The sequence below is a fragment of the Homo sapiens genome, chromosome 12 (genome assembly GCF_000001405.40).
Source record: "Homo sapiens chromosome 12, GRCh38.p14 Primary Assembly".
NCBI classification, from domain to species: domain Eukaryota; kingdom Metazoa; phylum Chordata; class Mammalia; order Primates; family Hominidae; genus Homo; species Homo sapiens.
In genome coordinates, this window is record NC_000012.12 from 26,471,955 (window position 1) to 26,496,171 (window position 24,217).

At 36.3% G+C, this 24,217-nt stretch overlaps 1 protein-coding gene across 7 annotated transcripts in view; it reads right to left on the reverse strand.

Moving 5' to 3' along the window:
- Window positions 1–24,217, reverse strand: part of ITPR2 (inositol 1,4,5-trisphosphate receptor type 2) — a 497,843-nt gene that overhangs the window by 136,603 nt on the left and 337,023 nt on the right. For 5 of the 7 annotated variants that reach the window (XR_001748686.3, NM_001414174.1, NM_002223.4 and 2 more), the window contains 8 exons: window positions 23,198–23,306; window positions 22,199–22,386; window positions 15,114–15,297; window positions 14,150–14,406; window positions 11,744–11,944; window positions 9,177–9,287; window positions 4,958–5,053; window positions 3,342–3,464 (listed from right to left, as the gene is read on the reverse strand). Coding sequence is in view for 5 of the 7 variants with exons in the window: in NM_001414174.1 (NP_001401103.1) it covers window positions 3,342–3,464; window positions 4,958–5,053; window positions 9,177–9,287; window positions 11,744–11,944; window positions 14,150–14,406; window positions 15,114–15,297; window positions 22,199–22,386; window positions 23,198–23,306 (1,269 nt within the window). In the remaining 2 variants the exon portion in view is untranslated. Of the gene's footprint in view, window positions 1–3,341; window positions 3,465–4,957; window positions 5,054–9,176; window positions 9,288–11,743; window positions 11,945–14,149; window positions 14,407–14,862; window positions 14,980–15,113; window positions 15,298–22,198; window positions 22,387–23,197; window positions 23,307–24,217 lie in introns of those variants that run through there. The other 2 variants (NM_001414175.1, XR_001748687.2) reach the window with 2 other exon arrangements.

The following is a 24,217-nucleotide window of genomic DNA, read 5'->3' on the forward strand; positions in this document are numbered from 1 at the left end:
AGGAACTTGGAAACAATCTTAGGGATTGGCCTGCTAAGAAACCAAATATGACATCCTAGCCTAGAGAAAGCCAAGGAGTCACCTGCAGAAAGATCAGCAGAGCACAATGGTCTCTCTTCTGTGAGTGAAAGCTCATAATTTTTCATGAAAAACTGGTGACGGGGTTACCCCATAAAGAATACATTTATATGGTGGCAAGGAAATGACTCCTTGTGTCACTATAATAGAATAAGCGGACAATTGCTTAACTCTACACTGTCAGTTACATACAACTGGCCTACTTTTCTTCCATACCTATGCCCTCTTTGGGTTCTAAGAGGGACTCATGAGGACTCTTATTTAATATTTAATCTCTTACAGTGTAATCATGAGGCTTAAAGTATTCAGCAATTCAGAATCTCCTTTTCTCTTTACTTTCTTTTGTTTTGATGTTTGTTCTCTCTCTTCTCGAGTCTGCCTTTGTTTCTCTACTTCTATATTGGACCTTCGTTGCTCTACAAATCATTGCTTTTCCAACATTTTGCTTCTGGGAAGTTTAAAAAAAAAAACAACTTCGATATATCCACCCCAATCATTTTCACATCATTGATATCATTGATTTATCTTCCTTTCAACAAGTTGTTTTAACGCCTTGTAACATTTTTTTTACTACTTCTAAATTTCCACTTTTTGGGCAATTCCACCATCATCTTTGCATATGTCTATTCTCCTCTTCAAGCGCTGTAATAAACTCAAATTCATTAAAATAATTGGCCTTTATGCCATCTTCATTTTGAATTTATTTCATATATAGGTTGCTTTATGTTTTCTATCATCTTTCCATCTCTGAGCACTGCTTGCATTCTTTACCCTCTTTGTCCATTCTTCTCAACATGTATCATCGTCTTTTTAAAAATTTGTATTCTGTACTCTGTTTTTTTTTGTTTTTTGTTTGTTTGTTTGTTCGTTTTGAGACAGAGTCTTGCTCTATCGCCCAGGATGGAGTGCAGTGGAGTGATCTAGGCTCACTGCAACCTCCACCTTCCAGGTTCAAGTGATTCTCGTGCCTCAGCCTCCTAAGCAGCTTGGATTACAGTCATGCACCACCACACCCAACTAATTTTTGTATTTTTAGTACAGATGAGGTTTCACCATGTTAGCCAGGCTGCTCTTGAACTCCTGACTTCAAGTGATCCACCCACCTCAGCCTCCCAAAGTCTTGGGATTACAGGCGTGAGCCATTGCACCTGGCCTGTATCCTCTACTTTTATGCTTAGTCTGCTTCAAACTGAAGTTACCTAACATAAGTCTTTTCTTTACCTTGATATTTTCACTGTTACCCCTAAGACACTGGTCATCTGAGACTGCTTTATTAAATTTCTTAATGGATGTCAGGTGGTTCATTCATTGTCTGCTGGCCAATCTGTCACTCTGCTGGCTCCAGGGCAAGCTTAGCTCATCTGGTTGTTCATTCCCCACTCAACAGCTACACAGTCAGGTTTTACTCATGCAGCTGCTCACTCGTGCAAGAAGACAACCTCCCCCATACAAAGCAAGACTATCTTGCAGTCAAGAAAACAGAAGTGGTTCTACTTCCCTACTTTCTTCTTCTGAAACTTATTACTGCTCATTTTGACCTTGCCTTTTTGACCTTGCTTGTCTTCCTTGCCTTCTTCCCTCCACAGTGCTACAGCCTCTAAAGTAACTCCTTGACCCTGTACACATATGGGTCAGCATGTTTCTGTGTTCATTCTAGTAGCCAATATGATTTTAATTCTCAGCCTGGGATTTTTTCCTTTCTACTCACATTCAATCTCTAGCCATTCCTTTGCTAGCTTGACTCACTTTGTGTCACATGGCTTCTCTTTCTCTCTAAAACGACACCTTTTCCACATCCTAAATCTCCACTTTCTGCTTCCTTCCACTTGTCCATCATCCTGGCTTTCAGTTGCTCAGCAGCTAAAATGCTCATCTGTCTAGCTATAAGTCATCTGCCCTTACCTCTTTCTGTTCTACATAGGTATTTTGATACATTATGAGAGACCTTAAAATATTTTCAATGAGCCAGATATATTATAAAACAATAGTGGTGTCTTTTGTTAGTATCTTTTAGAATCTGACTCCTTCCTGGAAGGTTTTGGAAAAATTATAGTCAAGTTCACATATATTAGACAGTTATACAAAGGGTAGAAAAGGGCATAAGAAATGTCTAAAGAGCAACCTTAAAAATAAATCTTCCGAGAATCTGACTTTATATCTATCAATGTTTATTCAATCAACTGATAAAACGTACAGGGAAACAGAAGGGAATGATTGCCAATGGGAGAAAATGATGAGAAAGAAAGATAGAGCAAGTCTCTAAAGTTTGAACTTCATTTTGTAAAAACAAAGGAGCTATCATAGACAAAATCAAATTGGCAAATGCACATTTAAAATGTTTAACTTCTAAACAAATTTGCATTCAAAGATGCCAATTTAAAGTTGATCTTCATGTTAATTGTATTAAATTTATGAATAGTACTCATCAGGCACCTGTTTAAGTTATAAAATGGAAACAGTTCCTTCAAAAGAATTTAAAGGCCGGGCGCGGTGGCTCACGCCTGTAATCCCAGCACTTTGGGAGGCCGAGGCGGGCGGATCACGAGGTCAGGAGATCGAGACCATCCCGGCTAAAGCGGTGAAACCCCGTCTCTACTAAAAATACAAAAAAATTAGCCGGGCGTAGTGGCGGGCGCCTGTAGTCCCAGCTACTTGGGAGGCTGAGGCAGGAGAATGGCGTGAACCCGGGAGGCGGAGCTTGCAGTGAGCCGAGATCCCGCCACTGCACTCCAGCCTGGGCGACAGAGCGAGACTCCGTCTCAAAAAAAAAAAAAAAAAAAAAAGAATTTAAAGTTTAGCCTCACACTTCCAATCAGAGGCTGCCAGTTTATGGCTTCTACAGAAAGCATGTCAACCTACAATTCAAGGAGGCCAGAAACTACCTGCCGAATTTGTCCTGATTAGGACTGAATGCACCCCCTCACTTCACACTCTGTCTCCCCAGTAGCCTCTCTTCCCCTCTCCTTCAGGACCCTCATTTTTTGCCATGGTTTATCCATGGCTCAGGCTGACATGGGAATGTCTCCTCCCTTCTGGTCCAGTAGTTTTGGGTACCAAGCACTCTTTTCCTGAAGACTGTCCCTTAGCATACCTTGGGGTGCATAGTCAGGCATTCTGGGAGGCTGTTCCTCTCTTTAGCCCAAACCTAGGATGGTAAGTGCTGAATAAATGAAGGGACCAGAACTTGAAAATATGACAAGCCATGGATACAAAACACGATTGATAGGATGAGCAAAATAATGTAAAGATATAAAATGTGACACCTGATGGGCCAGAATATAGATATTGTGTCCAACATCTTTTGGAGAAACACCATCATCTCCACCCTCATCATCCCCATGGTCACATTCCAATCCTTGGTTATAGGCATTCTTCATCACATCCACCTATCCAAAAAAAAAAAGAATATTGAAATGCCAGAAACAACATCTGCTTTATATTTTTATGAGATTTAATTAAAAATTGGGCAGCTTCATAAGCCTCAAAAGTATAAAAGGACTCTAAATGAAAATGGCCTTGGAAACCATCCTTATTTCAATGAACATGGAAGTATCTTCCTACAATATTCCCCTTTTCCTTGGAAATTTTTGTTTGATATTTGAATGTTGATAGTGCCGAAGTTCCCATGAATTAGGAGAATCGAGAACCCCAATAAACATCCATTATTTACTAAGTGCCCACTAAGTAACAGGCAGACATGGTGCTAGAAATTGCCCTGGGAAGTGAGGACCCCAACAGTGGATGGGAGAGAGTACCCTCATGGAACTTACTCTCCAGTGGGAGAGTCAGCAAGCAAGGAGGCAAACACAGTGCGGTGCCATCGGTCCTAATCCAGGGCTATGTATGTTTCTGAGGAAGCGCAGAGCAGGGGCATATACTCAAGCAAGAGGTGGAGGGTGGGCCACAAGGAGGAAGGGGATGACAGAATAAAGGTGTTGTTCACAGAGGAACTAGTATTTTCAAAGGGCTATTGCACAGTGCCATTGTTGAATAAATATATGATTCACTGCCACATTTAACCATAGGATAGGAAATGTGTTGGTCCTTGTAACTCACTGTTTGCAGATAGACATTATGCTCTCATTAAATATATATTAAATCAAACTTCACTTTGTCTCTCTTTTTGTCTGCCCTCCTCAACTCCATTCTTTACTAATAAAGTGAGAGCAAAAGAATGTTGTGCCAGACTTTCGTAGGAGTTGCCCATAGCACCAACAATGGCCCTGATGTGAGTGGGGCTTAATCATCAGGGCACTGAGCTATATTATGTGAGTACATTCTCAATGCTTTTGGAACCCAATGCTTTTAAAATACACCTGCATTATTTCATAATGTGCATGCCACGAGTGAGAAAGAAAAGATAACTTCTACAATAGGAAGACACACTAATGATCTCTGTGGAATCTCTACTAGAGTATGCACAGTTTCCTTGAGGCCAAGCATTGTACAACATATCACTGAGAAGAACAGCTACAAAAAATATTAATTTTATTTTTATTTTTCAGAAAGAAGTATAAATAAAATTTTTGAAGAGTACAAACATTTTTTTTACATCCCTTCCTCATATGCTCCAATACACCATTAAACCAAAGCCAACTTTTTTCTGGCAATACACATTTGCATATAGTTTAGTATAGTGTGATAAGTTGGCTAAGAAAAGTGCTTAGAGTGGATAAAACTACTGAAGTCATAAGGCCCAAATCACACAGGCCTTTGTCACCACAGGGCCTTCTGAGGTATTGGTAATGGTAGGTCATGATGTTCCATTTGTCTTGGTAGAGCAATGAAAATCAATCAACTTTTTTTTCTGACATGCATTCTCTAAATTTTTTCCTTTTAGGCTACCCAATATTGACCAAGCTTTTAAAAGTTTTCTTACCAGTTCTCTGGGTCTCATGTTAAAAAGAATTCTTTCTGCATTCTCACTGTCATGTCTGCTTTCCATAATGGCCAGCAAAAGTTTAGATGCATTGTTCTAGAGACACAGATTGAGTTAATGTGCATGCAAAGTCTATTTCATGGATTAACGATTTCTCTGCATTTGTTTTAATTGAGATTACTAGGACCTTTTTTAATCAAACGGAATTTAAAACTGCTAATTTCATTTGTCTTGTTAACATTCTAAAATAGAACATCTTACTCCATTGTCAACACAAAATATAACTAATGAATCATGAGAGCTATGTTACAAGAGATATTTTAAATATTGGTGAAAAGGTACTTCAAATGCAAAAGTGACTTACTATATACCACACTAAAATATAATCATATTTTCCCTCACTGTTTCCTAAATAGGCATTTCATAATGATGTTTTAATAAAAAAAAAGGTGAACAGGTATCAGTAACATATTTTACAGAAATGGTATACAATTTAAAGAATTTAGCACAATTGTTAAAATGAAATATTAATATATATTAGCAAATCGAAACCTAAAATAAATTTAAGCAATAATTAGAATTAATCTATAAAATTACAAATTCCATGTGTTAGAAATATAATATAAACTTATTGATAACGGCTTCCTAGTCTCACTATATGGCAGGCGATATGCAACTTTGTTTACCTTTGGGTTGTGAAAGAATATCTTCTATTTTTGCTTAACAAAGAATGAAAATAGCTTATGTTGTCTTTGAAGTGTTCTAATTTGTTTTATAAGTATATTATCTCAACCATTTCTACATACAGATATCAAAAATATTTCTGATACAATTTATAATCCAAAATAGATACTCAGAGTTACAGAAAATCTTAGCCAAGAAAGCACAATATCCTAAACATTTTGAAAGATGTTACTTCATGCTGTGTTTTTAACAGTGCTGGCATAGAATTTTGGCAAATTGCAATATGAAATTAAATATCCAGGATTTATTTCTACAGTGTGCTCATAATATTCATTTAGATAAAAATCTTAACCTCCACACACAATCTTTGATAGAAGTACAAAAGAATTGGAGTTAACATGGCTTTAAGATGCTTCTAAGTGACTCAAAGTTAACATATCATAGAATGAAAATTAAACTGAATTGTGTTTGGTCTAAACAAATAATGACCATGCAAATTTTGTTAAGGTTGTGCAAATTAATTCTCCTGGGTAGTTTTAACATCAAATTCTATCCAACTATTTTCCCCCCAGAAGTACAGCCTAAAGATCATCTTAAGTGACCAATAATAGTGACGATGATGAAGATGATGATTGACACTAATGTCACTGACTCATTATGAAAAGACGTCAGTATTTTGGAGGAAAGGGAGTATTATCTTTTTCTGCTCCATTTTCATTTTTTTGCGGACTTGAACCAATCCTAAAATCCACTTCGACAATCTAGTATCCCACATAAATAACATACCTAAAAGAGTAAGGTTCTAGGATTAGTGGAGAGCTTAAATCCTAGGAGTAATCTGAACAGACCTCCATGGAATTCAAAGCTAAAACCTTGGCAACACTGACAGTGCTATCTAATGAACCTACCCTCAGCAGGCCCAATACATGATAGCTTAAAAATACATCCAATTTCAGAACGCTATTGGCAATATGGTATTTTTTCTAGCCAATCTTCTTTTCTATATTATGTCAGAAGAATAGAAATCTTATAAACGGCCTAATGAAATATGAATTGAATTGATAGTATAAGAGTCTATATATACCACAAAATCAAATGAAATATCAGTGTTAGTGCAGGAGTTTCTTCTTAAAGAAGCCAGATTCTTTGAAAAAACAAAACAAAACAAATCTTTACCTATTTACAAATGAAGCACTTCATATTTACAGCTCAGTTTTGCAAATGAAAATAAAAAGTAAAGGACAACAAATATGAAAAAGTAATAGAATCTCATACTAAATGAGTACATAAAGCTAAGTATACTTAAAATTAGGGATGATTAAGCAATTAAATTCAGGAATGAATGACATAAAATAAAACCTTAATAATTTTTAATATGGTATCTTTTTAATGTTAAAGATAATTTATTATTTAAAGTACCCTATGCAAGGAAGTCCCTTAAATTTACTAATATATATTATTCTGTCTTACAAACATTGTTCTTATATTGGCCAATGTGTACAAACCCTCAAAGATTGTTTAGAAAACTACACACACCTCATTCACTAAGAAAAAAAAAAAAAAACTATACTTTAAATATTTCAAGCCAAATCTATATTTGGTATTTTGACTTATTCAACTGTCATATTTTTAAAAGGTAGCAATTGTACATACTAAAATCAATAAAAATTTAAATAATATATATTTTTTAAAAAGCATTTTCATTTGAATAGTTAATAATATCTTTGTGCTGTTAAGTGATGCCCTCTCACTTAATTTTTTTACATAGGCTTTGATTTGTAAATAATCTATATGCTTATACTTTATTTTAAATGGATGAGCCATTCAGTATTTCTGTCCATTAAGTTTAATTAATTACAAATGAAATTTAAAGGTATAGTCTTTAGACTAATGAAGGATTTTAAAAGCCAAAGATCAAGACCTCTCTATGTTGTTTCTTAATGAATTATGGTTAAATATGAATTTAAGATAAAACAACAAAAATTTTTCTAATAACTTGAATTTAAGCTGACTATCTTACAGGCCTAGGCTGGTTTCATTAACTGAAACATGATGGTAATGAATCGAGGGGCACAAGTACATCTATGTAAGAATCGTCTTTGCTAATCTATGAATAGAAAGAGCAGAAGCTTATACACATTACAACTGAAAACATGAAAAAATACAAACTAATCTCTTCTATTAAAAAAGCATTTAAGCTGGGTGTGGTGGCATGCACCTGTAATCCCAGCTTATCAGGAGGCAGATGCTGGAGGATCACATGGGCCCAGGAGTTCAATATCAGCCTGGGCAACATAGTGAGACCCTGACTCAAAAAAATAAAATAAAGATAAAGAAGCACATGCTTACTAAGAGCCTTTAGCACAATCTTCACGTAAACATATGTACTTTCCATTGTACTACCCAAACCTAAATTTAGAAACAGGATTAGAAAAATATCATTCCTATTCTTCTTGGCTATAAATTTACCCATACAAAGTTAAATTTAATTATACATTCTTAATAGTCTTGGATAGACAGGGCTTCACAGATAAATTGTAATTTAAGCAAGAATTATTTTTTCCTGTTTAACCCTAAACACAATAATGTGGTCTTTACTAGCTCATCTCAATTGAATATCATGCCTTAGTATTTGGGCTTTATATAATTTAGTGTGTATATTAATTTCTGCTCCTGAGCTCTTATAAATGAAACTGCTGGGAGCTGTGCACAAGGCTTAAACTAAAGAAACCTCTTAAAGACAGTGTGGATATCACTGAAAGTATTTTGGGGAAAAACTAAATTTTAATGTAAAAGAGAACAACTTTTAGAAAGAAGAGAACCATAAAAATAAAATGCAGCACTCCTTTGACTTTGTCTAATTCCTTGTGTCTTTCTGGGTGGAATTCTGTAGTCAATGTGTTTTAAAAATACATCAGCACCTTTTGCTTCTCCCTATAATGAAAAATATAAAATTAAAAACAAAGCCGGGCACGATGGCTCACACTTGTAATCCCAGCACTTTGGGAGGCCGAGGTGGGCAGATCACGAGGTCAGGAGTTCCAGACCAGCCTGGCCAACACAGTGAAACCCCGTCTCTACTAAAAATACAAAAATTAGCCAGGCATGGTGGCGGGCGCCTGTAATCCCAGCTACTCAGGAGGCTGAGGCAGGAGAATCACTTGAACCTGGGAGGAGGAGGTTGCAGTGAGCCGAGATCGTGCCACTGCACTCCAGCTTGGGCGGCAGAGCTAGACTTCATCTCAAAAAGTAAAGTTAAAAATAAAATAAAAAATAAAATAAAAATAAAAACAAAAGGGAAGTCATGAAACACAGTGGCTGCTTGGAAAACTTCCAGGAAAGGACCTTGCCATGGAATATTACCTCAAAGCTAACTTCACATTGCATCTGGAGTTTAGTAAGCATTGTACTTTCACTATCCCTTTCTGTCAATTGATTAGTTGAAAACATGATAATATGCTTTTGACAAGAGCTGCTTGAAGATTGTACTATAGAGACTGTAGCTTTTCTGGCCTGAACAGTGGAATCGCTCTACCTTTAGCTGGAGCACCAGGTCCATTCGGTATTTACCAAGAGGGTTTATGTCATTCAGAATCAAAGCAATGATGATATCAATCCCATTAGACTCATGTGTAGCGATACAGGTCTAGAAAACAAAATATTTGTAAAATATCATTTTATTCACAACAGAATAGCACTAGAACTAACAGGATATAAAACAACATAATCACCTTAATTTTTGACCTTTAAAAAATAGGTAAGATTTACCTTTGAGCATTTGACTTATTCTTTTGTATAGGGTCTGGCAATTAATTGATTAGTATTGATCAAATGGTTTTGTATGCAGAACACTGAGCGAGACACTGCATGAAGCACGTATCTTTTAAAATGAACTGTGTTTATAGAATTTCAGAGAATACTGGTTAAGTTAAATATCCTTCCATTCAATAAACTTTAATATACCAATCAACAGAGGAGATCTTTAAGGTCAGAATTTTAAGATCTGAATTATCCTCAATAAAAGAATTTTCCCATTTATGAAAGACATGTGTCCCTCATACCTGAGATTTGTAGGCAAATTTTATGGTACCAATGAAGCATTTTAATTTCGTTGCTACTTAATGCTAAACTGATGACAAGAGATGCTGCTGTCCAAGCCAGGTGGAAGTGAAGACAAGTAATATGAGACTCTCCTGATGTTTGGGGACATGCTGTCAATAATGATGGCTGAAGGAAAAATTTACTGGATTTCTTAAACTTACATGAGGGAATCTTGATTGGGGAAAATTTATGAAACATCCTGTGAGATAAATATCCACATTTTGAAGGTTAAGATCGACCATGCTGGGGTTCTGAATTTAATTTTACAGGTCTTAAATCAGGAACTTGCGAGCCAGATTTGTAGGACTATGTGTTAACAATGTAGCACCTTGTCAAGAGGTATGAAAAACTGAAATCCTGGTGAGTTAAATGAGAAAGACCAAAATCAAGACAACTTCAAAATGACTGCTTTTTCAGCATGGGCCTTATTTCTCCCTTCATACAACGGAGTTTTTATTCCTCTGACACAGAGGAAAGGTGTTTTCTACCCATCTCCTACCTGTCCTGAGGTTCTTCTGCTCATTAAAATATTTCCCAAACTTAAAGAGAATCTTTTTGCAGATCATCTCCAGAATTTGCCAGCAATCTTTCCTCCCACACATTTTCAGAGCAATGGGGAATTATATGTGGGGTTCATGTTATTTGAAAATTAGCTTTTACTTTTAGAACTTATTTGGTTTTAGTAAATTACTTTCAAAGCTCTATTCCATTCTCTTATGAGACCAAAACTGGGGAACATTCTTACAAGCTTTCCTGGAAACAGCAGAAGAGACAAATGGTATAATTATTTTCTATTATAGATGTACAAGTTTTTATCAACAACAAAACCAAATCTCTGAATTTGTATGTTTTTCCTTAACTTTAAATCAACATTTAGGTTTTCTTGTATCATTGCTCTGGGAGACTGAAATATAACCCAGAAAAATGCAGGGAAAAATCCACAAACTCTTTCGGTATTTCATATGTACAGTACAGAAAGGGAAAATACCCCCATAACAAATTGTTTATGCCAAAACTGTCCTGTTTTCATTGTACACACCTATGCATGTACACATGTGTGTATAGATTCATAAATGTATGTGTGTGTGCATAGACACCGTGTGTATGTGTGCGTATCTCATGTAAACTGCAATGTTTAAAAAAGCAAATTTCTTTTTCACAATTTTCTATGTCAATCGTTGATGTTTGCTCTCAATGACTTTTTTAATATTTATATCCAGAAATGTTTATGACTTGAAAACTCTGTCTTCTGGACTGATCCATGCTTACGATGGTAGCTCCATGATGCCTGAGAGGAGGTGAAACAGTCAACTGGCAAACTTTCAGGTGGCATCCCTTACCTTGATTGACCCAAGTGTCCTGCCTTCTACTCCCACAATATATCCTTGATATCCCAGAAAACAAAATCAGAGACAAACATTCTGGAAAAGAGACTTGAAACTGTGCCCTCCAAAATGTAATATAGTCAAAAGAGCACTCGATTTAGACTCAGAATCAAAAGTCCTTAGTTGTAAGAATGGCTCTACAACTTATTGATTCTGTCACTCTGAAACTCTGGAAAGTCACTTAATCTTTGGGTTAGAACCTATTCATCAGCAAACTAGAAATAATGATACCTATTCATAAGTTTATTGTGCATATAAAAGAAATAACATATACTACTCCTTGTAGGGATGCCAAAGGAGCCAAAGAAAGTTTATTCCACAAATCCTGGAAAAGTTCACTAAAGATGAAAACTGGGTGGTGGTCATGACACATATTTCACTTTTTTCAGTAAGTTGATTTTTATCTTGAACATTTTCATGGGACTTGTTTTTACAATGAAATTATCTACAAATACAGCATAGTATTTCCTTGTCTATAATTCAGTCTTTGTATGTTTTATTAGGAAAGTAAAAATGTCTGGCAAAGCAAGAAGAAAGATCTTTCAAGTGCACACAAAGATTGGCTCCTTCCCCAAATTAATCCCTTTACTAATTAGTCATGGATACTTCTGGTTACCTGATTTTCATGGCAAGGGCCCTGGCAATACTCAGTCAAGCTCTCCAGGTTCTGGTTGACCAGCGCTACATTCTTCTCATTGATGTAGAGACCCAACAGGCCCAGGCCACCGGTTGTACTTCCACAAATGCAGTCCAGAAACTGAAGGGTCTCACAGACTAGGTTGTAATTTGTTTTGTTGTTTTGATTCCTCAAGAAGTTCTGAAGGCAAAAGAAAATAAAATTGAAGGGTTACAAAAATTCACTGTGCTGATTGTTTGCTGTTCTTCCCATATGTGTGCTTTTCTAACTTTTCTTTGTAAGAAAAGTATTCGCATTTATTAAAACTGTCCTCCACTTAAGGAGGGAGAAACGCCCTTAGGTTTTTCCCCAAGCATCTATATATATATATACACACACACATATATATGTATACATGTACATATATATGTGTGTATATGTGTGTATATATGTATATATGTATATATACATATATGTGTATATATATATCAAGATAGTTCATAATAAACATTTCTCAGTGTCATTATCATCAAACTACACAGAGAGGGAAAGAGTAATGGGAAGTCGGAAAAAGAGAAAAAAAAACTAGGTAGAAAGAAGTTCATTAGGGAGAGAAGCAAATTTTCAATTATAAATAATCTCATATGAACAGTGCAACTTCATTGTTCATTAATTATAAATGATATAATCATTATGAAGGGCAACTGGAAGTATCTATCAATATTTTAAGTTAACATACAGCTCCACTTCTAAAAAAGTTTTTCTAGATATATGTACATAAGTACACCAACAGGTTCTCTGCATACTGCTTGTTATACGAACACCAGAAACCATATCATATGTATGGTAATGTGACTGGCTTAATGAATAATAGTACATCCAAACATTAGAATACTGTAAAACTATAAAAATTAGGTACTTCAACATGTACCAATAAACATAACCTGGCAATAAGTAATTGACTAATAACCGAAATTACTAAATGAAAAATGTAAGTTGAGGAATACCATAAAATACGATTTTTTTTTTCTCGAGACAGAGTCTCACTCTATCACCCAGGCTGGAGTGCAGTGGCATCATCTCCGCTCACTGCAAGCTCCGCCTCCCGGGTTCACGCCATTCTCCTGCCTCAGCCTCCGGAGTAGCTGGGACTACAGGTGCCAGCCACCACGCCCAGCTAATTTTTTGTATTTTTTTTTAGTAGAGACGGGGTTTCACTGGGTTGGCCAGGATGGTCTCGATCTCCTGGCCTTGTGATCCGCCCATCTTGGCCTCCCAAAGTGCTGGGATTACAGGCGTGAGCCACTGTGCCCGGCCGGAATACCATAGAATATGATTTTTAAAAAATGTTTACCTGCACAGTTCGATATGCTTATGCATGCATAAAAATTTCTAGAAGAAAAAACCTGGGCCCTGACAATATTCAGTCAAGTTCTCTAGATTAATCACCTGTTAACAGTGGTTTTCTCTGGGGAGTAAACCTAGTAAAAGGGTAAGCAGGGAAGGAAACATGTTTTATATTTTAATTTAGTATTTATTTCTATTAATTTATTATTTAACGTGTTTATTTGAATTTATATCTACCATTTATTCTTCTTAAGACAACTTTAAAAGTAGTATTTTCTATACTGATCCCACACTCCTACCAGTAAACTGTTCAATCAGATACTATCTAATGTATTATACACCCTATACATCTATTTCCTACACTGCCAGACGAAATGGGTTAGGATAGGCCCATGGGCACTGATCCAGTATTGTCCCTCTGGAAGCAATGTTTCTGGCCTTGGCCTGCCTGTGTACAAACAATGCAAAAAAGAGGCCAAAATTCAGAAATTCATAGGCAATCCTAAGTTCATTTATCTAACAAAGGAAAATGCAGGAAAGAAGATATGACACTGACTACATTCATTTTTGAATGTATCCACCTTCACTCTGGTTAAAAACATCCTCTTCTATGTTAATTCTGTTTCAAATGAAGACATACAAATATACTCAGTACTCTCACTCAAGAAATATGAATTGGCTTGAAAATAATGAAAGCCCCTTAAGAATATAAAATCATGAAAGATATAGATGAGACAAATGTGATCTCTCTCAACAATATAACCTTACCAGAGAATACTAGGAAGACAGGATGCCCACTGAGGCTAAAAATATTTGAGGCTAAAAATATTGAGGAGGATGACACTGTATGAGCCTGATTTTTTTTTCTTGCATAAAAGGATTTTCTTCTTCCTTTTCTTCACTGATACCAAAGTTTCTTCCCATTTCAGAGGAGCACTATTGCTTTTATTGATTATCTTTCTAAAATGCTCTCCGAAACTACTTGTTGGTTTTATTTGAATTTAATTACTGATAAACATAGGTTGTATTCTCAGCTTTCACACAAAACAGAACAAATACCTGCAATTCCCGGTTGTGATTCTCACACAGTAACTGAAGAAATCTCAGTATTGGCTGCATGATGGCAATTGCGGGACTCATTGTTACTTCCTCTGCGGATTTTTCCTCAGTGTTTCCCGCTTCTGGTCCTGTGCACATAATGTCTATTTCTGGATCCATTTCTCTTCTGTATACACAATATGCTTTGGATGTTGCTGAAGAAGCTTCTGTTAATTGCCCTTTCATTCCCTCTTTTAAATGTAGTGTTGAATCTCTTACTGAAAACAAAGCAGTACTTTTATATTTCTGAACCAATTTGCTTTTACTAATTAAAAAAAAAAAAACAAACCAGGTACCCAAATTCTCTAACAATTGAATTAAAAATAATCTGACAAAAGGTGCAACAATTTCCAAAAAGGATTTGAGAGAGCACTTAAAAATTAAATTTGCAGTGGGTCATAAAAAAGATCTCAATGCTTAGCAAATTTTAAAAGCACTCATGTCTTTCTGATATATACATATATATATTCATGTATATGAGTTTCATATTCAAGGAGGTAAGAAAATGTGACAAACTTCAAAATGTTAATGTCTTTATGATTTGTATTTAATACATGGATGATTTTGTCATTCTGAATACCAAGAATCTTTCATTGGAGTTTGGTGTGGTAATTTCTGTTTTTAAAGTTTCATTTTCATGGTCACTTAAAAGATTTGGGGCAGTTACTATTTACCATGCATGCCACAATGAAATCAAACATCTTTCATGCCGTTGGTTGCTTTGCACTGATTATGTCTCATTTAAGTTTAGTCCTGCAGAGCCGTTTTAGGGTCACCCCATGACCAAAATTCTTTATGGATGATCAGAGCCACAGTGGGGATAATTAAACCAAGAGAAGAGAGACGAAAAATGTTAATGAGATTTAAACGCTATTCCCCTCTTTTCTCTCACTCTGTTCTCCCAAATACTCAAATACTTCTTTACCTCTCATTCGTGGACCAGATGTCATCAATTCATTGTCATCGTCCCTTTTTTTGTTACCTAAATCTATGGTATTAACTGTCACTGTTGATCTTATTTCTTTCTGAGCAGCCTTCATTCGATCATAGAGAACTTTAAAGAATTTTTCTGACTTTTTTTGTTCATGCAACTGCTGGTAGAAAGAATACTGCAAGAAAACATATTTTAAGACATCAATACCCAAGGGGAGACAAATGGTGTTTTTATGCTTGAACTAAACATAAGCATTATAGGCAAAAGCACACACTTAATGCACCACCCATTACTATTTCATAAATTGACAGCCTTTGCCAGTTTCTTGTACTATTTAATGTGTACTAATAATAGTTGGTATTTACTTAGCATTTTCCACTAAACTCCAACATATTTTCAGATGCTGTTTAATTTATCCTTACTGGTTATATATTTTTAAAAACTTACAGGGACATTGTAAGAAGTTGTATGGAAAGAATTCTTTGATTTTTATATTATTATAAAGTCATGCATTGATTCAACATGTATGTATTGAGTGCCTACTATGCGTCAAGCCCTCTGTTAATAGGGATAGAACAAAAATGGAAACCAACAACAATCCTTGTTCTCATGAGTTTGTAATCTAAAGTGGAAAATAGCCATCAATCCAAAGATCATCCTGTATAAACATGAGTTTATGGAAAGTTACAAAGGACTATTTTTCTCTTTATCTAAATTACAGCACATTTAATTTGGAAAGTGTTACCATGGTAGCCTCACTCATGGGATCTCACTGATAAACAGGTACCAACTTCTTTTGGTTCCTCATTAGCTACATTGCTTTGCATGGGGTCTCAGACAAATCCACCTTAAAATAAATATAGTCAATAATGATGTAGAAATGGTTCAGAAACAAAAGTATGATAAAATGTATCTTTGTAAGATGTGGAAATATTCAACCTTGGGAAGATTTACCCTAATTCTTGCCTGCTCAATGCCTTATGGAAGTGTCCAGGAGAAGCAGTAGGAGGTAGGAAAGATAACACATTCCAGAGAAGACAGAATTTGAAGTGGGTGGGGGAATTATAACTTATTACTACCAAGATTATGAGATAGATACAAGACAAACAAGATAAATATCATTTGTAAATTAATAAAGATAATAACTCCCTAACTGTAGTGAATAAAAGAGTTATATAAGCTTGAGGAGAGATAGTATGAAGAAAACATAAGAAAAAATAATTTCCAGATCAAGCAGAACTGGCCCTACTCCAATATAAGAACATTTAAACAGCCAGTTTGGGGGAGTTTGCCCCAGGATATGCTTTCCTTTAGGAATTCCTGGAAACATGACCCACAGGTCTTGGGATCTGTAACTGAGACTCTAATGACATCAGGTCTTGAAATGGTTGCCTACTCTGCAATTTTCTCTGTGGGCAATGTATATACACAGAGTGTCTTATGAAGCCTTAGATGTCAGCTGCACACCTACAAGGGTAAGCTCCTACACAGAGGGCAAGCAACCCTCAAGAAAGAAGGCCAAAAAGTCACGGTAACCATAGCAACCACAGTAAAACAGTCAAGCTGGTTTTGTTAATTCAAACAACAAATGCAGCATCCACAGACCTCTACAATCCCATGAATTAAGCAGATGATAAAGCCCAAATCTTTTCAATATAATGGGGTTAGAAGGTGGAAGGAGTTTCCAGTATATTAATGAGGAGTTATGAGAACTTTGTGGCTCTATTAAAACAAAGCTTCATAATTTATGTAGTTCTTCTATATATATTACTTCATAGATACTTTCAATTCAACAGTGTGATGAATAGAGTGCTCTTAGTTCCATTTTATAGATTCATAAAATGAGGTTTAGTAAAGATGAGTGACTTGCCCAACATTATATAACTAGTAAGGGGTAGAGCTAGGATTTAAATCTAGATTTTCGGACTCTAAATCACTAAATGTATAAAACAACCTCTTACGATGAAAATGCTAGATTATTTACATAGATAACACCTTTTAAGAACGAGGTATCTACAATGCTGAACAACACGATTTTAAAAAGGAAAAGTAGGTTTCATATATATTTATATAATCTCAACAAGTAGCATAAGTATTCCTTTCACTAAAGACATGATTTTTGCTTAGGAAACTACCTCCATTAGCTGCATAGAGTGTAAGGGGAAAGAAACTCCAAGTGTTTTGGAGCTAAGGGGGATGGATCAACAGATATGTGTGACAGGAGACTGGAAGAGGCAGAGAAGGGAAGGGAAGTGAGAATGGAGAAAGACAAGAGCATGATGCAGGGAGAATCCTCAAGTGAAATATCCTAGTGGTGAGGATGGAGATGGCTATTTCTAGAAAAGAGATGCTTATTGCATCTAAGAGCACAGAATCTGGAGCCAGACTGCATCGGTTTGAAACCTATCTCTATCTCTAACTAGCGATGTAAGCTTGGGTCTATCTCAGTTTCTTCTTCAGTAAGGTAGGATAACATACCACTTACCTCACAGGTTGTTTGAATATTAGCCAAGTTAATACATACAAATCACAAAGAACAGCGCCTTATATTTAGTAGGTATAATTTTCCTTATTGCTATCATTAGGTTCCATTTGAAATTGTAATATAAGTACCTCCTATACCTTCTCCTTCAGTTGATCTTTAACAAAGTATAGAACATACACACATTGACTTAATGTAGTTAGAAAGGAAGAAATAAAGGAAGGGGCTGCAGTTCTCAGTATGACAGAAGCAGGGGTGTTAAGAATTTATGTGCTGAGAAAGCAAGACTTTTTTGGCTAAGGAGACAGTGAGAATGTAAAACCCCCATGGAACTGGCAAGTGTCTTGGGGAGGAGTGCGCTTTAGACTGCTATAGGGCAAGGAATAAGATTTGAGCTAATCTCAACTAGACCTCTTAGAGCCAGGAAAACATAGTTGCCATCTGGGTTATACAATGTGAGACATCCGAGTAGAGGAAGGCTGGTCCTTATTGTCATAATCCATCTTAAAAGAAGGTTTTCATATATAAGAGTAATTTAATGCTGTTTCATCAAAAAATATTTGTTGAATGGCTATAAAGCACTGTAGACATAAAGAATAGGATATGATCCCCTATACTGAAGAAGTTGAAATTCAATTGGAGAGGCAGGGTATAATACAAATTACAACCAAACAAAGTAGCACATGCAAAATGCCAAGTGGTATTAAAGAAACAAGTGCATGGAAGCTGAGATAAGGGAATGGACACCAAATGTCCCAGACAGCTAGGAAAGACTTTGTGAAGAAGAAAGAATTTAATTAGGACCATTCATTCACAGAACCATTCACTTCTGCACATTGACTGAACCCCAAGATTGGTCCAGACACAAGGGGTACAAAGATGAATAAAACGTAGTTTCAACCTTTAAGGACTTATAATTTACTAGACGAAGCCTGATGCACACATGAAGAGGCAAAATAAAGCGGCAGAAATGGCCGGGCGCAGTGGCTCATGCCTGTAATCCCAGCACTTTGGGAGGCCGAGGCAGGTGGATCACCTGAGGTCAGGAGTTGGAGACCAGCCTGGCCACAGGATGAAACCCTGTCTCTACTAAAAGTACAAAAAATTAGTCAGGCATGGTAGTGGGTGCCTGTAATCCCAGCTACTCAGGAGGCTGAAGCAGGAGAATCACTTGAACCCAGGAGGCAGAAGTTGAAGTGAGCCGCTATCGCGCCATTGCACTCCAGCCTGGGTGACAAGAGTGAAACTCCATCTCAAGAACAAACAAACAAGCAAACAAAGTGGTAGAAATGTCATTAAAGACATCCACAGGTTATAACAGGGGCACATAGTAAGCAGTAATCAATTCTACCCAGTGAGATATGGAGCCTAGGCTTCTAGGAGAAATGTATTGAGTTGAATCCTCAAAGAGGAGAAAGCAGCATGAGAAATAACACAACGCATTTGAGGAATGGCAAAGAGCTAAGTGTAGCTGATGCATAAGAGGAAGGATGGAGGAGGCAAGAGGGTGGAAGAACAAGGGAAAGTTGGAAAATTTGAAGAGATCATGAAGTATCTTATGGACTGTAGCAGGGAGTTTGTCTTTATAGGGCAGGTGACATATTTTAAGCAGAAGAATAGCATGTTTTTGGAAAGGCATCTTTGGCTGGGTGTGGTGGCTCACACCTGTAATCCCAGCACTTTGGGAGGCTGAGGCAGGTGGATCACGAGGTCAGGAGATCAAGACCATCCTGGCTAACACAGTGAAACCCCGTCTCTACTAAAAATACAAAAAATTAGCCGGGCGTGGTGGTGGGCACCTGTAGTCCCAGCTACTCGGGAGGCTGAGGAAGGAGAATGGCGTGAACCCAGGAGGCGGAGTTTGCAGTGAGCCGAGATTACACCACTGCACTCCAGCCTGGGCCACAGAGCAAGACTCCATCTCAAAAAAAAAAAAAAAAAAAAAAAAAAGGCATCTTTGAAGGCAACACGGAGAATGATTTGGAGAAGGGCAAAACTGGAAGCAGGGACACCTCTTAGAAGACTACTTGTCACTGTCTAGGAAAAGATAAGGAGAATCTGTAGTGAGAGCTGGAAAAGCAGGAATTGAAAATAATAGAGTATGGATATGAGGGATATTAAGGGGGCAGAATCACAGAAGTTGGTCATCAGTGGGATGTTCAGGAAGAGAGTAAGTAAGGGTGGACAAGTTAAGGTCAAGGATGACTATCATTTTCTGGTCAGACAACTGGGTAGATGGAGTGCCAGTCACTGAGAGAGGCAATGGCAAAAGGAGCAGTGCGTGTATGGAGAGCAACAGCAGACTCCATGTGAGACATGTTGAGTTTAAGGCATTTGTGCACATCCCACTAAATATTCTGGAAGACAGCTGGATACATAGTCTAGAACGTCAGTAAGTTCAGAAGCATCCAAACACAGTAAACGTTAAAGGTGTGGAAATGAAGGAGGTCAGGGTGGGGAACACACAGAGTGAGAACAGAGAGTCCAAAGAAACTTGGGAGTTAAGTAGAGGGAGAAAAACCTTTGCAGAAGGCTAAGAAGAAATGGTAGGAGGTAGAAGACAAGCTGGAGAGGGTGGTATCCCAAGACCCAGGCAGAAAAGGTTTCAAGAAGAAAGAAAAAGTCACTAGTGGCAAATGCCACAGAAAATCATGTAAAGAAGGACTGAAAAATATTTCGGTTGTGAAGAGATCTAGGGGAACAACTTGCCAGGAATTTATAAGTAGAAGGTGCAGTTTCCAATGGGAGCTGGCTTATTCCCCAGCAATATGAGGATATAAGTAAGCATAAATAAGTGCGAAGGATGAAGGATGATCCCATCTGGTGACCCTTAGTGGCCTAGAAACAGAAATCTACAAAAGACTGTAATCCTGAGGATATCTTCTAGAGATGCCCCCCACCAAAAAAAAAAAAAAAATCCTTCACTTCTATCCACTGAACAAGCCTTTATCTAATGTTATGTGGTTGACTGGACACTTTCTCTAGAAAGTCCCAATTGACAGAACTTCCTGGTTTAAGTCTGAATAGTATTCTGTCATGTTTATATATCACATTTTTAAAAATCATTCATCCATTGATAAGTGAAATAGTGGAATCTAAAAATGTTGAAGTCATAGACGTAGACAGTGGAACATTGGTCAAAGAGTCCAGTTTCAGTTAAACAGGAGGAGTAAGTTTTGGTGTTCTACTGTAAAGCAAGGCAATGATACTTAATAACAATAATATGCTATATATTTCCAAATAGCTGAAAGAATTTTAAATGCTCTCACTACAAGTAAATGATAAATATTTGAGGTGATGGATATGCTAATTATCCTGATTTGATCATTGCACGATATGTGTGTGTGTATGTGTGTGTGTGTATATATATATATATATATATATAAAAGCATCAGATTGTACCCCATAAATATACACAATGATTATTTGTCAATTAAAAATTAAATTAAATTTTAAAAAGTCCCAACTGAATACCTGGTTCAGATAAGATAATTTCCAAAAAAACTCACTCAATTTCCTCCATCACCTCCTTCCTCAAATTCCCTCAGAGGAAATCTATGCTGCAGCTACAGCATCATGAGAATTTTAAACACTTTCTTTTCTCAACTAAGTACTATTGATTTAGCGTTGTTTTTGTCACCATGCCACTTGCTGCTCGTGAGGCCTTTACTCCTAAAGCCACTGTGATTGGATGTGTTAGATGGTAATGTTCCTATTGTTCAATGTATTTGATGGTTAAATGAAGCACAATATCCCAGTTTCAAATTAGACATGGCTTCTGCTGGCCTTGAGTCGAGAAAATGGCTTTTGGAATTTCTAATTATATACTTAGTAGTAAGTAGACAGTTTTCTTTACTGACCAAGGCAAACCTAGAAAGAGCAGGCTACCGAGCAGCAAAACAGACAGCTACATAGGAGGAATAAATTCCTGTGTTCTAATCCTCAGTAGGGTGGCCATAATTAACCATTTATTGTATATTTTCAAACAGCTAGAAAAGTGAATTTTGAGTGTTCCCAACACAAAGAAATGATAAACATTTGAGGTGAAAGATGTGCTAATTACCTTGATTTGATCATTACATATTGTACACATGTATCAAAATATCACACTGTACCCTATAAATATGTACAATTATTATTATTTAACCATAATGATAAATGAAAAAAAAAGACTGGAGGACAATGTCTGTCATCTGGGAACACTCCCCAGCACTCGGGCTCATGCAGCATGTTTTGCTTTTGGGTGTCGTCAACCCTACGGGCCACTTGGCAGAAGTTTCAAAAGAAAACATGTGCCTTCTGGAAATAGTGGCCTAATCTCCTGTGTGCAGGTGAGCATATTGCTCACTGTTGTGGAATTCCTGGAATAATGTCAGAAGGAAGTTTCAGAGGAATGTTCTGCTTGACTGAATAAATTGTGAAGCTCTGTAGTTTCTACAGCAAACAAATTTAAGAAAAGTGTGATACATGGATTTTTTTTTTTTTAGATAGTAATAAGAGCTAAAAGAAACACATTACTTTTCCTTGGTTTCTGTGACAAGTAAACAAGAAATACCAATAATAAATGTAATCCCCATGATTGATGAACAAGTACCTGTGTTTGTGTATTTCCTCCTTCAAGCAAGGCAATGCCGAGGAAAATGCCTTCTGAAAAAATTCTGTCATTTTTGGTGTTCACTATAACATCGATGACAAGTTCTGATGCACCTTCTTTATCCAGCAGACACTGAATGTCTGACATTGATATCCCCATCTTATCTGAATCTTGTCCAGAAAAGCTTCCTGTGATTGGGAAAAATAAATAAATAAACCTTAATTGTAGACATTATTAATATGTAAGGTTTTCAAATTCTTAAATTTTATTATTTTAATAAAAATATTAATCATTGAGATTTTTTCCCTACAAAGTTAAATATAATAGAAGCTTGAGGCTGGGCATGGTGGCTCACGCCTGTAATCCCAGCACTTTGGGAAGCTAAGGCAGGCAGATCACTTGAGGTCAGGAGTCTGAGACCAGCCTGGCCAACAGAGTGAAACCCCAATTCTACTAAAAATACAAAAATTAGCCAGGCGTGGTGGCACATGACTGTAATCACAGCTACTTGGGAGGCTGAGGCAGGAGAATTGCTTGAACCTCAGAGGCAGAGGTTGCAGTGAGCCAAGATTGCGCCACTGCACTCTGGGCTGGGTGACAGAGTGAGACTCTGCCTCAGAAAAAAAAAAAAAAAAAAAAAAAAGCTTGAGTTTAAAAATATCAAAGTTTGTAAAAATAGAACTCTTTATTAAATGTTTGACACATGTGATTAAATGTTTTTCTTAAAAACAGAAAGAGAAAACTAGCTTTATTTTGTCCTTAATTTATACATTAAGAGATTATAACTTAGTTTAACTATTTTTCCAAGGTCAAAAAGCAAAATCAATTCTGATGTTCAAATCTGTTGTTTTATGAGCCCCAAATTGTATGAAAGTTTTTAACAGTGATTTTTAAATGACTCTTTTATATATCTGCCATTTCAGTAAAATACTAGAGTAACACTGACATGAAGATGTATCATGAGAATCCTAAAATGAGAAAACAAATGACAGGACTTACCTCCCACCTGTGCAGTTTTGGAGTAGGCTCCTGATAGGTGTCCATTCACACCAATACTATAATCACCTTTAAAGTATCGATTCAGAAGTATCTTTCTTAATGTGTTACCCTAATAAGAAGGATAACAAAGAGTTACTGTTCCCTTTTCTAATAAAAGTGAAAAATGTCAGTATGTTAAATGCTTTAAATGCATTTTGTGAATGATGTTGAGGCATGGAAAAATTAACTTTCTATCAGATAATATTTTCTGAGGCAAAAATTTACAAATGCATCCCAATAAAATAATCATTTTGCTTCTCATAATAAATAAAGAGGGTGGGAGAAGCTTTTTGGAGGTGACGAACAGGTTTATGGCAGATATTGTGGTGGTGGTTTCACAGTGTATACTTATCTCCAAACTCATCAAGTTGAAGACATTAAATATGTACAGCTTTTTGAATGTCAATTAATCATAACTCAATAAAGAGTTTTAAATATAACTTTATTCTGTCAAAAATAAAAGAGTGTGTTCAATAGAATGTACTAGAAAAATCACAAATGCTAAAAATTTAAGATTGCTTCAAAAGCTGAAGTTTCCAGAGTTGGGGAGTATCAGTTGCCTAAAGAAGACTCAGAATAATAAACACCCTAAGAATTGGAAAGCAAAGGGCTTAGGTAGAGGAATTTAGTCAAAATAGCCAGAAAAAGAGTGGGGAACAGAGCAGGTACTCAAAAAATTAACCTTGATAAAACAGACTGAATTATATTTAAACTCCAAAATGCTTTATTCAGAAGACTGTGGGCAAAAGACAGTGTATTCCTTTACAAATTACATAATCCAAAACTTCCTAAGTCTTCAATTTTGTACTGACTACAGGACATTTTTAAAATAATACATTTTGTAATATAATTGCTTGCATGTACATAAGAAACACAGATAACTCCAAATCTTTTATTGGTGATTATTATTTTAATAAAAAGAGTGATTTAAAAGCATTATTTAAGGAATACTTGTTTAAACTATTTAAATTAACATAACTA